The following is a 15,088-nucleotide window of genomic DNA, read 5'->3' as shown; positions in this document are numbered from 1 at the left end:
AAACATCTGTAAATTTAAGTAGCAAACCTAGATGTTCTAAGTCCAAAGCTCTTTCCTTTTGCACTACATCAGGACTGTACTTATATGCTGAAGACCTGAATGTTAGAACCTATTCTGCATAAATCTAGGAGTATCAGATCCCGTTTCTGTGCCTCAGTTTTCTCATTTCTGTAAAATGAGCAGACTGAATCATAGTATCTGTAATATCCCTTTAACATCTAAAATTATCTTCTATGGATTACAATAACAAGTGAAATAGTCCATCGTCAGGTTTCATAAATAAAAATGTTTTCGAAGGTGCAATTTAAATAATCATAAATAAAGTTTAATTAAAATAAGGATAATCACTACCATTTAATAATTACTTGCTATATTCCAGGCACTAAGTGAAGTGCTGTTGATATATGTTATCTCATTTTATCCTTATTACATTCATGTGAGATAAATATCGTTATTACCCTCACCCAATAGATGAGTGCTTGAGGCTCGCATAAATTCAGTCACTTGCCTGAAACTCATAACAAATAACTGTCTGAGCCTGATTCAAACATGGATATTCTGACTTTGGTGCTTGCATTTGTAACCACTCTACCTTCCTACCTGTCCAAGATTAGCACTTGTATATGGTGTGAGATGGCAAACCTGGCCGTTTGATATTTGTTTCAACATTTCCAGGTGAGATGCTACAGCAGTCATCTGAATTAAAGAGAAGCCTGAAGATGGCCAAAACTAATATGGCCTACCTGGAGATTTTAGCTTTGTGGGGAAAACCAGAATTTATCTGGAGTTTTATACCACCTAAGGGGAGAGTCTCCTATGAACACTAATTAATTGCCTTTGGGATTGGGGAAACCACATTCCAAACCTTTCACCAGCATGACCAGCATTTGGATGTGGAGATGTTATCTATTCTTTGTTCCAGATTTAAAAGCAATTCATGACTCATGAAAGCAATGGCCCTTTAACTGCCTTTAACTGAATAGAGCCCATTTCCACTGAGATCTCACAACCAGATTCGGATTAGGTAAAAAGATGTTTTTTACCTATTATTAACTCAGCATTTCCACCGGCAGAGGCAGAACCTTGCCCTGCTGCAGCTGGAAATCATTAATGACCACTGACGTGGCAGTGACCAAGTTTCTCCCAACTGCTCTGGAAACTTGTGCACCATCTCCGTGAAAAACTATGCTCTGTGAATCACAGTTACTGTAGTCAAGTGTAGACACATCTGGTCAATCAGGAAGGTGTTTGCTGTTCATAATTTCAAACACTGGGATGTATGGAACCATCCACATGTTTGGCATTTTTAGAATTACTGGGGGTAATCCCCACTCCCCCACCCCCCACCCCCAGCACACACAGAACATTTGGTAATATCTGGAGATATTTTTGATTGCCACAGCTGGGGTGGAGTGGTGCCATTTTTGTCTAGTAAGTAGAGGCTAGGGATATTATTAAACATCCTATAATACACAGGAGAGCCTCCTGAAAGCAAAGCCAAAAATGTTAATAGTGCCAAGGTCAAGAAACCCTGTTTTAAACCAAACTCCCTGGTGATGAGCTGCATTTTTCCTTTACATGGATTTGTTGTTTCTTTTACACAAGACTTACCCTATGTCTAAAAGCCTAACAGGTACCACCACTGATTTTCAGTTTGTACAGTGGTTCTCACACTTCATTGTGCACATAAATCATGTGGGGATTTTATAAAATGCAGAGTACTAGGTGGCATCCTCAAATAATTTCATTTGGCAAGTCTTAAATGGAGCTGGGAATCTGCACTTTTACTAAGCACCCCTCTCAACCATGAATCTAAAGCATTTGGTCTTTAGATCATACATATTTAGGATTTTGGTTGTCAAACTAGGCTGCCCACTAGAATCACTTGGAGAGGGTAAAAATGCTAATGCCTGGGCTCCACCTGCAGAGATTCTAATTAATCTGGAATGTGGCCCAAACTTCATGAGTTAAAAATCTCAAGTGATTTAAATATATAGCAAAGTTCAAGACCCACTGATTGAGGGAACATTAGTTTGAACTAACTTTTTAAAACTGAACCCATTTTCTGAAAAGAGAGACAGGAGAAAAAGGAAAATGTGAGTATGCTCAGCTGGTTGCATTTGGCGATCATAAAATCCACAGATGTAAATTGCTACATCTTCTAATTTTTAAATCAGCTTCTAAGGTTGCAGTACTTAATTCTCACCATAATATTTTTAGTATTCTTTCTAGATGACATTTAGATTAGCATCACTTTGGTCACTATCCCACAGTGACAAGGCAATCAAACAGCTCTGATGATTGCAAGTTGCGTCAATGTTCCTTGGATCCCTTTATTATTGGGATTGGAAATTTTTCTCATTTACATTATTATTTAACATTTCTTGAATGCCAGTGCTGCTCTTCACATATGGCCTGTGTAGAAAGTACATTGTATCAGCAATTAACAAATCTATAATGCCAACCGCCGCAATCCAAAGTAAGCTGCATAGATTAATGAGTAAAGCAGATGTAAGAGGGTATGAATCTTAAAAATCTCTGGCAGTGTGCTCTAAAGATTTCTTTTGGGCGATGTATTTGGAGCCAAGGTGCTGCCCATGTTCAGAGACCATGTGATCCCTTGTAGATTAAGATTTGAGTAACCAAACAATCAAATGGAACTCACTTTTCTCCTGTTACTCTGCCAGGATTCCTAAGTAAGTGGTTTCATCCTCCCGGTTGCCCAAGATAGAACCTCAAGAGCCATCCTTGACTTCTCTTTCTCCCCAGTGTGTCACAACAATTCAATTTCTATATCCTGACAATGCCCTTAAGTATCTCTCAAGTCCACCATTTCTCCCTCTCTTCAATGCCACTACCATAGTTTAGGTCTCTATCTTCTCTCCTCTGGACCACAATGATTGCCCTATTGACTGTGCCCTTGCCTCCAATGTTGGGTGGCCGTTTCAATCCATGTCACATAATGGTTCCTTTTATTTCTTTTTGGTGAATGCCTTCCTAGTAGTAAATGAGTAACACATTTTTTTCTTTCACTCTAACTCCGTCCTCTCTCTTTCTCATACCCGTGCATACACAGACACACAGACACACACACATACACACACACACACACACACACACATAATGACATTACATCCGGTGCTTCTCAACCCTTTTTCCCACAAAGATAAAGGGCAAAAACTGTGTAGTGGGGATAGCTCTGTTTTACTAACCTCTGCATGTAGCACTTTATATAGCAGGCAGGCACTGATGCGGTATAAAAAACACCTCCACATTCTTGGTCTCATGTTACACACTGAACACAAAGATTATTGCACTTGTGAACATGAGCATGTTGCTGGCTGGCCTTCCAATTCTGAGCAAGTACAGGCCTTGCACATGGCTGAGTCATGCTCTCTAAATTCTAAGGAGCCAGCTTTACTTAATAGGAAGTACTTGGAAGAGAAAGTGGGAAAAATTTTCAAACAAATTTTACGTATAAGTAGGCATCCCAGATGTCCAAGGAGAAATTCACTTTGGAACTTGTTTCCTTTTAACCCACGTGACTCTCTTTCTGACTTTCCCCATGAGAACAGCAGATTCTCCCATCGAGACATGAAATCTTGTGAAATATGCTAAATTACCTATTCCATTGGTGCAATCTTTCTGGCCCATAGCAAACCATCAGATAATGTGTTTTTCCTCTTAAAATTCCAACAATGTGTCTTTATCCCATAGTCATTGAATTAACTGGTACAAAAACATATTTTCAGATGTTACACTCCTTTTAGAGTGGATGTGATATCAAAAAGCCACACATACTACTGGTCTGACCACTCAGAATTTTGTATATGGTGTCTTCAGAAAGGAATCTAAAGATTAGTTGTCTGTATTTGTCTAGAAATAAAGAAACACATCCCTTATTCCTCAAAGGGAAAAATCTATGCAGTGCCAATTTTTAAAATTGGTCCTCTTGGGGGTAAAATGCATGCTTTCCTGCATTTTATACAATTTCTCTAATCATCTGATGTGTTCTTGCTTCATTCAGTACCTGGACTGAGCCTGAGCCACTTTGACTAATGTCCTTGTGCCCATAGCATCCATATTCTTTGTGACTGTTCAGTAGAGAGAGACTTCTCCACGACTTTCATCCTTTAATAGAGTTAATGACACCTTCTGATACTGTTAGGTTATAACCACATATTTAGGAGAACTGTAAATAAGTCAAGACAGTCCTCACTGGTGTATTTTTGCCCCTTCCAAGCCTTGTTTGGAGATTAATTATTAGCCCCAGGAAGCTACAATGCACACTTGTAATATTGTAGAAACTGCTTATTGTTGCTTCCTATCTTATTCTTTGTGATACAAACACTTTGATATATTTGTTTTAGCAGCGTGTCTGAGCCCCAGGGCATCAGGGCATAATTAGAAAAGGGCATGGGCTGGAAGGAAAGGAGAGGAAGGGGTGAGGCTGGCTTTCATAATGAAGCAGTAACTATGAGATGTGAGGGCCCTAATTATAATTTATAATTAACATAGGATTGTACAAACCATATAGATGAGCAAGCAGGGATATCTCCTTTTGAGAAGATAATGCTTTGGTGCTATCTTGAATTTGTGGTTATTAATCACTTGAAAGAGACAAAGGAAAACTTTCCATGCAAGGATTAAATTCAAAGGTATCATTCTAAAACTAGAAGTAATAAAGAGTTAGTTTCTGGGAGAACTCTTTTTCTTTTTAAGTCAGTGGTTAAAAGAGGATGTTTGGTCTAAATGTCCTATTTAGGGAGCACTGCAAAGAACATCTACTAAGATATTCTGTCCCTCTCTGGCCCTTTAAGCTCTCATGTTTCTGGGCTGGAACAATTTCGTAGCAAGTAGGATTCAGTTATCATGCTTGTTTAAGGACATTTTCATGGATCCATCATGCGGTCTGCAGGCATGCATCCATTTGGAGAGAGAGAATATATCATGTTTACGGTGCCTGCACCAGCATATGTGGACATTTGCATTTGGAGATGAAAGTATATTCCCTCTTCAGCTGGAGTTTTACCCCTTGTTGGTAGTGACTGGAGCCTGAAAGCTGGTTATATGCGGAGCAGTGGACCAGACACTGTTTCCTCTTCTGTGGAATTCATACATTTCTTTTTACACCTGGATTCTGCCCTTAATCACCAAATAGATGCAATATCAGAACATATAGATCATTGTAAGCTTTGAATTAATTTAGCATTCTGACCCTCTTGAAGAGACATCTTACCTTTCAAAAGAAGGTTTTTGTGGCCCAGCTTTTAACATAATATGGAGAACCATTCTAGAAAGATAATGAACTGCTAAAAGTCTGTGTGCTCACCTGGGTGTGTAGTGACAATTTAACAACACTAAAGAGGTAAATTCATTTCACAAAACACATTGAATCTTGAATTCTTTGACTACACTGTTCACACTTAATTTCAAATATTAAAATGTTTCACATTAAAAACTCAGTACTTCATTATATTAATCCTATAATAGATATTAGTTAATAAACTCCAGGTCAGAAGCATTTGGGAAAAAGAGAACAATTTGCATAACTAGTCACTCAAAGGTTGGGCAGCTGGGTTATGGTAGTTTCAATTTGACAAAAAAAAAGAAAAATGCAACTCTAGATGTATTATTATTTGTGACATGGCTCAAGATGGGAGACTGTGAGGAGAGTGAAGATGACAGAACTGGTGCTAACCACTGTGACAAGAACTTGAAGAGCAGCCGACATGACATCTTTCCTATCATGCTGCCGAAAATGTCAACTTTGTGAAGGACAGTGAGAAAATGGTTTGCCGAAAACTTGAAAGGTGGATTCCGGAGATGCCCGCCGTGTCAGATGCGATATAGTCTGCTGTGGCTGGAGAGACTCATTTCTGGCTCCAGTGATGGCCCGCAGGTGGGAGAGCTTCCAGGCTTCAGCACGGCTCCAAAAATGACTGCGCTTGACCTGCATATTGTCTCAAGTTTGCAGGATCATGATATAAAAGAAGCGAGTTGTTAGCCAGTGTGCAGTTAGGTGGAACCAGAGACCAGGGGCTATGTTCGCATGTGTATGTGCTCATGTGTGTATGTGTTTCTAAAGCTAAGTTCAAAGACATCATCTATTAAAATTTGGAACGTTGTGAAGGAAGAGATATGTGCTTTATGAACTTATATCGAGTTCAATATAAGTAACAAAAACTAACTCTGGGTAATCTAAGCAAAGGAGAGTTTATTAGGATGATGCTGGGGGCCTCAAAGACGGGGAAAGGAATGCTGGAATCAAGTGAGCTATGGAAGAGTAGAAAGCAGGACTGACACAGTGGTTCTTACTGTATGTTAGAGTAACACGGGAAACCTTAAAAATGCCAGTGTCAGGCTGGGTCCAGTGGCTCATGCCTGTAATGCCAGCATTTTGCAAGGCTGAGGTGGGAGGATCCCTTGAGCCCAGGAGTTAGAGACCAGCCTGGGCAACATAATGAGACCTTGTGTCTGAAGAAAATTAAAACAAAATTAAAAGATATGGTGGCATGCTTCTGCAGTCCCAGCCTCTCAGGAGGCTGCAGTAGGAGGATCGCTTGAGCTTGAGATGTCAATGCTGCAGTGAACAGAGATTGCGCCACTGCACTCCACCTTAGGCTGAATGAGACCCTGTCTCAATAGTTAGATAGATAGATAGATAGATAGATAGATAGATAGATAGATAGATAGATAGATAGAGCTTTGAGGATGCGACCTTTCACAATTCTAAGAAACAGACAAGATCAAAAACTACTGACCTGTAAGGACAGTCTGGTCAAGGCACAGCTGCTGGAACAAGCAAATTCCGTCTGTTTATTCTAGCCTTGTATCATTTATTCAACGTAAGGATTCCAGAGGAGGGTGTCCTGGTAGCTGAACTGAGGTCATAGTCCAGCTTAGATATGGAGTGGCTGTGAAAGGGAGGGGCTGGCCTCTAGGAAGCCCTTCGGCTTTAATAGTAGGGGAATAGGCACCTCGATTTACCCTCACACGAGAGTGGCCAGAATGTGGCTGAGGCCACTCCTCCAAATCCAGGGGTTAGAAATTGGCAATGGATGCTAAAAAGCCTGAAAGCAAGAAGACCAGAATATTCACAGTCAGGACACGAGAGCGTGAGAGAGTCAGGCTTCTAGGCAGGTGTTCTGTGTAGACACATCTCAGCCTGGAATTTTCTAGCTAGCAGTTTAAAATCCAGCTTCACCCCTCCTCTTCTCTCACTCTTTGTGTCTCCTTTAGTGATTTAGCATTGAGAAAGGAACAAGATGCAGAGCTAGTTTTAAGACAGTTGTAGAATCACCCCCAAATATTTTCAGAAAGACAAAACAAAAGCATGGCGTCTGAAAGATACCAATATAGCTCTACTATTTATTTTGCAACCAGCACTACTTGGAATGGCACCTTGTAAACAATACAAATGCCACTTTTGGAAGGGATTCATAGTTAAATAATACCATGTATCTCTTGCAGAATATCTTGGGTTCCAAATCCACTCCAACCTAAGAGAAATCAGGAACCCTGAATCAAATATACCCTCTCTGCCACTGGAAGAACCACCCACCTAATATTTTTTTTCTCTAGAACAGTGGCACTTAGAGTGTGGTCCTCGAACCAGCAGCACTAGCAGCACCAGTAAACTTGTTAGAAATGCAAGTTCTCAACCCCTACCCCCCAGCTCTACTGAATCAGCAACTTTAGGGGACCAACCAATCCAGGTTGTCACCAGGTGATGCTGAGGCTCATTCAAGTTTGAGAACCACTGCTCTAGAAAAAGTATGCTGTTGCTTCTGTGGAAAAAACAGTACTCTCCAAAGCATGTAACCTGAATTTTTCAGTTAATAGTTCTATAGAGATCTATCTAAACCTGTATAGCTAACATTGCCAAATTATAGGGGTCGATGAACAAGAAATTGATGTTTGACAGAATTTTCGAAAACAATGAAGTGAAATCAAACAAAAAAGGGATCCTTTTGCTTTTTAACTGACCTGGTTACAACCTATGATCTTTGACAAGTTGTTATTCCTGCATGTCTTTTCCTCACTTTGTAAAGCAGCATCTCCTGTTACCAATACCATTTCAGAGCAATTCTGGCAGTTACAAATTTACATTTTATGTCAAAATCATTCGACATCAAATTGTTTTATCACCTGTTTTTATTGGTGAACTCTGTACTTGTACCTTACAGACTTAGTAAAGTTAGTTTGTTTTATTTAAAATAAAAGTTGTCGCGCTGACATAGGTGATCAAGAAGCAAATTTAAGAGACAACACTACTTTTCAGTTGTTTACTTTTATTGGAATAGTGAGATTAATAGTGTTCAGAAAGTAGTACGAGGAGAGGTTATCAGCGAAGCAGAAGCTGCTATCTGATACTTTTAATAATTACAAATGGGAATCATCAGAACAAAAGGAAAAAACATAATCCATTGTTAGGTTTGTAATAATATCTTTTATAGTGAGAATTAACTGAGAAGGCCAAGCATACACTAAATGTTCAGTTTTTATCATCTCAGACACAAAGCAGAAAGCTGCCTTCTAATTGCCTAATTGCCTTAGAAGGCTTGTAGGGTAATGAATGAATGGTTTTATTCACAGAGATATTTATCTCCTAATAATGACCACAAATATCCTGGCTCTTCATGTTAAATAGTCTCCATACTTTTTGCTGTGATCAGTAAACCTTTTCTGAACTGTAAAATTATATTTAACAGCATTTTTCTCTGGGTTAATTCTCCACTAAAAAACAAATGCTTTAAATTGCTCCATTTTTCCCCCAGTTGAGTGTGTGCATGCACATGCTGATTACATAAACAAATGTGTGTTCAGTTCATTAACAAGCTGAAGGTTGTTTAAAGAAATTTAAAAACCACAGCTTAAGGAAGTTGTAGGTTGTAGCATATACACGAAAAGTTACAAACAAAAGCATCACATGTTTTGTGGAGGCCAGTAAATTCATCCTGTTATCTAACTGTAGATTCACGGACGTTTCATGTAAAAAAAAAAAATTTGTTTTTGTTAAGCATGGTAGCTTGCACCCATAATCCCAGCTACTCAAGAGGCTGAGGCAGAAGAATCACTTGAGGCCAGGAGTTCAAGGCCACAGTGAGCTATGATCACACTGCTGCACCCCAGCCTGGACAACAGAACAAGACCCTGTCTCTTAAAAAATTTTTTAATAAACTTTGTAAATTAACATTTGAGATTTACCAGAGAATTTGAAGGCAACCTACCTGTTGTTTATCATTTTGCCTTTCTTTGGAAGAGTATGAAGAAATGGACTGAACAGGATTTTACTGTTTGGGGGTATTTTTTATAAAGTGGGGAAGAGGAAATTTTCGCATATTTCAAATAGGGCATTTTTATTATCAAAAAAGAAGGAAAGCTGACTGATTAACCCGTAACAGGAGGTACATTGCTGTCATTTGCCAAGTCTTTTGTGCAGTCAGACTGGTCTAGTATAAAGGATTTTCCCAACTTATGCTGGATCCTTGAGAAGGCCTATAAATAAGACCATTTGTTTGGTCTCAAGATGACTTGCATTTGCAAACTGAAGAATGTTCCAATAGAAGTTTTATGGTGACACACCAATCTGCAAACTGGCTCAGCCAGTAGTCAAAACAAGTCACTATGAGATCTGGGAAGCTGAAGGCTTTGAATGGGTCAGATTATCCTGCATTTAGTTTGGAACAGATAAATTTGGGCTATAAATATGTATCCTCCCTTTATATTTTCAACTTGAATGGTCCATAACAAATAGAGTATATATGTATGCACCTAAAGATGACACAGAACCATGAGAATATGATGATCAAACTGAAATCATTTATTTAAGCTGGGGTCCTTTTTATTACAATGAGTAACAGTTTGCTAAAATTGGAAAACATGTGGTTTGTTCTTCAACGAATACATGAGCACTTAAATAAATCTGAACATCGGTAGTTATAGGCAAGAAATTGAGCCATTTAAGACGTCTGACACCGGGAAAGACAAACACTTACAAGTCACCTGATTTTCATAGGAATTTTTGTGCATAATTCAGGGACCCCAAACCCAAGTGCCTACAAGAGAGATAGGTAATACAATTTAGCAATGTGGACCAGGTGAGTGCCTGTCCCAGGTAAGGAAGAAGCTGTTAGCCACCAATTAATAATGCTAACTGTTCCAAATTTTCAAGAAAACAGAAATCAGAATCGTATTCTCAAACTTCCCTAATTTAAAAAAATGTTGGCAACTGGTTCAAATTTCTTAAGACGCTGTGAGCCAAACAGAACAAGTTCAGGGGCTGGACTTAACCTTCAAGCCACCAGTTTGTACATTTTACCATTTCACAAGAAAAGAGCTACAGCTCTGCACATGTTTCCAAAATGATAACCCAAACACAACCCAACGCCTTTGGAAGCTAGCCCTGAATAGCTGGGCTTCTCCTGAGCTCACATCGATCACTGTAGTTGTTTCTTCTAAAATGGACAGTTTCCTCCTGCTAGAGATTTGATTTGATGGTGTCAGCATATGAGGTTCCCGTCATTTCATGACATGTCTTCTTTCAGGCCTGATGGAATTGGAACTGTGACTGTTGAAGAAAAGGAACGTTTTGAAGAAATCAAAGAGAGGCTCCGAGTTCTGCTAGAAAATCAGATTACACATTTTAGGTAAGGATCTGGGGCTGGAGAGCTTTAATTAGGAGATGAGAGTGGGAAGGGAAAACTAAAGGACTTAATTTTCCAAAACTGTAAATCTACCAGAGGATACATTGGATATTTAGAAATAACTGAGTAGAACAAGCAAATCAATCAGATATGGTTCCGCAATAACCAGGAAACTTTGCATTCTTAAGTTCATGTTATTTCCACTTAAAGAACAAATTCTTCCATGTTTGAGCTGACCCTGGTCAACAATCTATTACAAAAAGTTGAATTTGAAGCTTCTTCAAGGTTCCTAAGTAAAAATGAATAAATAAAAAATCTTGTGAATCAGAACATGGTGAACAAGGAAGGAAGGCAGTGATACTCCTAGGAGAGTCTCCACTTTTTCCACTACCGCAGAAACAGCACTGGCTGGCAACACAGGGAAAGAATGAACCTTGCATCAGCCTGGGTGGATTGAATCTCCCCTGCATACTCAAGAGAGCCAGCAGATTCTGTGCTTGAGCCTTACATCACATAGCCCACTTCTCCCTTGGAGCACATTAGGTGTTTTTAGTGCTGTCCTGGTGGTTCTGGACCAGAGATCCTGAAATAGTAACTGAAAAATAATAATAGCATTTGTAATTGTTCCTATTTATTAAATACTTCCTATATACCAGATATAGAACTGGAGGCTGGAGAAGTATTAACTCGTGGCATAACAACTTTGTAAGGTAGTTATCATAATCCCCATTTAAACCAGGAACAAAGTGAGGCTGAGAGAGGTTAAGGAACTTGCCCAAGGCAATCCAGCTGGCAAGTGGAAGAAGTGGGATGCTTACATAAGATAGTCCAGGTTTAAGCAGCCATGCTAGTCTCTCTGTCCCATGCACAGTGTTCTGACGGGCCAGTGACAACCTGAAACCAGTCACTGGAACTTGTAGTGGTACCTGACATAGTTTTTTTCTGTGCCATCAAAATCCTCCTGGATAAATCTTTATTGATCATACACACTATATGTAAAATGCATTACCGGTAGCAGACGGTCCATAACAATAGGAAACCGCAAGCAGGGAAGGATAGCTAGCAGAATCATGAATTTGCTCTAAATCCACTTTTCTATTCCATATATTGATCTTTTGGGGACTTAAGTAAGTGTATTTGAATTTCAGCCTGTTCCAACTAATACTTTTTTAACGCCAGTCTCGATAATAACATATAAGGTCACATTTGAGCTAACAAATAGTTCTCCTTCACAATAGAAATCTAAACAGAGCCTTATGTCACCACTCTGAATATTCTTTTCTGCTGCAGACATTTGCAGAGTCCCTCTTTAGTCATTATTCACACATACACATATATACATTATATACACACATATATGGTGTGAATTCAGATTAACATAACACAACGTGACAAAATAAAAAGCATTTTCCATTCCTCAGAGAGAGTTGCTATAGGAATCAAATTGCAGCATATTTCATGCTAAAATGTAATAATTTAGGCAACCTGAAGAATTTTGTCTTTTTTAGGTATTGCTTTCCATTTGGTCGACCTGAAGGTGCTTTGAAAGCTACTCTCTCACTCTTGGAAAGGGTAAGAATGAAAGTAAAAGATAGATCACATATATATAAAAAGACATAAGCATAATTGTAATGAAATGTTTTGGTTGAATGACCTAGTTGTAATTTTTATAGGATTTGTTTACCATTCATCAAATATCAGAATAGAAGCGAGGAAACTGCCAAAACTCTTGATATTTTATCTTCAAACTCCCAAATAGGATATACAGAAGATATGTTCCTAGCCCTTCCCTGACTCATGGACGGCCTTTGCCAATGCTTTGCAATTCTGGTGCTTTCTCTTTAAGCATGGCTCTCAATCTTATTAAGTCACAAAGAACTGATTTTAAACTTTCACGCTTCTAAGAAGTATGGATGAGTGACACATTTGCTTGAACCTTCTTAATAATCCCTCTTTTTCCTACTTGAAGGTTTTGATGAAAGATATTGTTACCCCAGTGCCACAAGAGGAGGTAAAAACAGTTATCCGTAAATGTCTGGAACAGGCTGCGTTAGTCAACTATTCTCGGCTCTCAGAGTATGCCAAAATCGAAGGTAAGGCTCCCTTCTGCCCCCAGTTTTGAATTTAAATTTTGATATGCCTCCCTGGGGAAGTCTTTCTCTTTTCTCAAGGGCACCTGAAAACAGTGGTCCGTCTGAGTATATTAAGCTGAAACCTGGAAGCACCTGAAATGTCGAAGTTTCCTTGGCTGTGGCCAAGTAAATGAATTAAAAGACATTACAGGGGCTTTGTAATTACAGTTCCCTTTGTAAGGGAACAATATTGAAAACAGGATGTTATCAGATAACTAAATTCCTTCTGAGAGTCTGTGTTGGCCCTAAGTATCGGCTCTGTGGCTGATGTTTTCCTATGAAGGAGTTCTGTAGAATTGCCCCCTTCTTTAAACAGAGGAAAATAAAGCAGTCTGTTGTCCGCTGCTGATAGCATTGGAAGCAATACAAGAACTGAAAAGAGCAAGATCAAGGTTTTGCTCTTTCTTGCCCCCAAAAGTACCTTGTCTTTTGGTAGTGCTTCAAGCTCGATGGCAGGTTAGTGCTGAGCCATCTGTGATGGCTCCAAGTTGGCTTTAGATCTCATTCATTCTTGTTACTCCAGACCTTAAATGCTTGTTACCACTGCCCTCTCAAGTTTTAGGGAAGTGGTCACTGATGACCCAGTAATCACCAAAGGTGCTTTGAGTAAACTCTACTTGAGAAGATATGGTTCTTTGGGACCTATTCATCCACGAAGGTATTAATCACTTTTCATTGTTACCCTGTTGGCTGCTATAGGGTGATTTGAAAGCCACACCCAACTTGACCAGTGGTGTAAGTGTATAAATGTGGAAGTTCTGTGTGCAAAACTCGATGTGTCCGCATTCTGGAATCTGATGTTCTCTCACACGTGAAACATGACACCTGACTAAAACTAGCAAATGCGCATTGTCTGCCTCAAGACAACTGGGGGGAAAAGAAACTAACCAATCACTCAGACCCCATCACTTACTCTGCCAAAATCCTTGTTTCCTTAGAGAATTAGGTTAAGATTATGTCAAATTCACAGTGTTCTGTACATTACGTGTCCTCCCTCTCTCAATTTTGTCTGTCTGACAATGCAAATTGTGTACCAGTGGTAATGAATTCACTGTTATGCATCCAGGGAGAAACACTTAAGAATTGGGCACCAAAAGGATGTTTATCAACTCTTGACTTGGTAATGAGTGACAAAAATAGAGGAACAAGAGGTCGTTAAAGGGCTATATTAGCAAATAATTGTTCCAGCATTTACTGTCCCAGGACGTAATGATTGGTTGTATTTGGTAAAGTCAGCCAGGTACCTAACAATTCTAGGCAAGTCCAGAGATGGGATGGGATCAAGAAACGTTCTGTTGCCATGGCTGCTGCCTCATAGGTCTTGGTCTAGCTATTACTACTAGTCTTTTGGTAAGATCTGCTCTCTTCTTTCAGATAAATCTATCCAAAAACAAACTTTAAGATCTGTAAGTAAAAATGCATTCATTTCCAAAGTAGATCAGCTGGTCTGTAATTTCCTTTTGTGCCTCAATTCTTCTTGGTTGTGTTAATTATCTTTTGCACTGTGACTTTTAGGTCTGGGGATTCTTTGAAGAAACCAATTCTTTTTTTTCAACTCTCTTTTCAGAGAAGTACCTCATTCCACACTACCTGCTCTCTTCCGCTTCTCTCCTTCCTTGTCCGTGATTGGCTCAGCCACTTTAATGTGACCTCTGCAAAAGTGGCTGAGACACCAATTTCAAAGCATGCTGGGATTGTTAATTCAGACAACCCAACATCCTCTGGCTGCATGTATCAGGTTTTCTTTCATGAACATAGTCCACCATAGGCTGAGACATTGCAGCCTGAAAGATATTACTACCAGACAACTTTCTTTTACAAGGCTCTGATCCTACCCTCAGAGAAGAAATCTTTCATTTTTTACATTTGAGCCCCTCTGTGAGAATTAACAGCTTTGTTATCTGAGAATTCTGGAAAGAAGTTGTAGTAATATTGCTGGAGACTATGTTTATGAAGAAATACCTCAAGAGCCTTAGATACTAAAGTCTTAAATCCTTAGTATCTTGGAGCCTTAAATCAATGAAATTTTGTTTCCCTTTACTCATGATGTTTTGGTCATTGTATTCTTGCAAACAGCTCTAAAGAGACGTGTAAAATCATGGTCACAATCTCTCTCGTGACTCACGGCATGCTGAATGGTTAATCCAGTAGATCTCCAATTTTGAAGCTCCTTTTTCTTTTATCCTGTGTTTATCCCAAAATACTCTGTGGCTATTTTCCTTTGAGCTAATGTAACGTTTTCCTCTAACCTATGACCTTTAACCTCTTTACCTCTGACCTAAGCCTCTTGCATGCCCAAATCCTCTT

General features: G+C 39.2%; 1 protein-coding gene across 51 annotated transcripts in view; it reads left to right on the top strand.

Annotated features, from left to right (window-relative positions):
- Positions 1-15,088, top strand: part of CADPS (calcium dependent secretion activator) — a 477,069-nt gene that overhangs the window by 346,616 nt on the left and 115,365 nt on the right. For 50 of the 51 annotated variants that reach the window (NM_183393.3, NM_001438352.1, XM_011534199.3 and 47 more), the window contains 3 exons: positions 10,551-10,652; positions 12,158-12,221; positions 12,619-12,742. In NM_183393.3, coding sequence (NP_899630.1) covers positions 10,551-10,652; positions 12,158-12,221; positions 12,619-12,742 — 290 coding nt within the window. Of the gene's footprint in view, positions 1-10,550; positions 10,653-12,157; positions 12,222-12,618; positions 12,743-13,480 lie in introns of all 51 variants that reach the window. The other variant, XM_011534202.4, reaches the window with a different exon arrangement.

Source organism: Homo sapiens, chromosome 3 (genome assembly GCF_000001405.40).
Source record: "Homo sapiens chromosome 3, GRCh38.p14 Primary Assembly".
In the NCBI taxonomy this organism is placed as follows: domain Eukaryota; kingdom Metazoa; phylum Chordata; class Mammalia; order Primates; family Hominidae; genus Homo; species Homo sapiens.
This window is presented reverse-complemented; position numbering and strand designations above follow the sequence as displayed.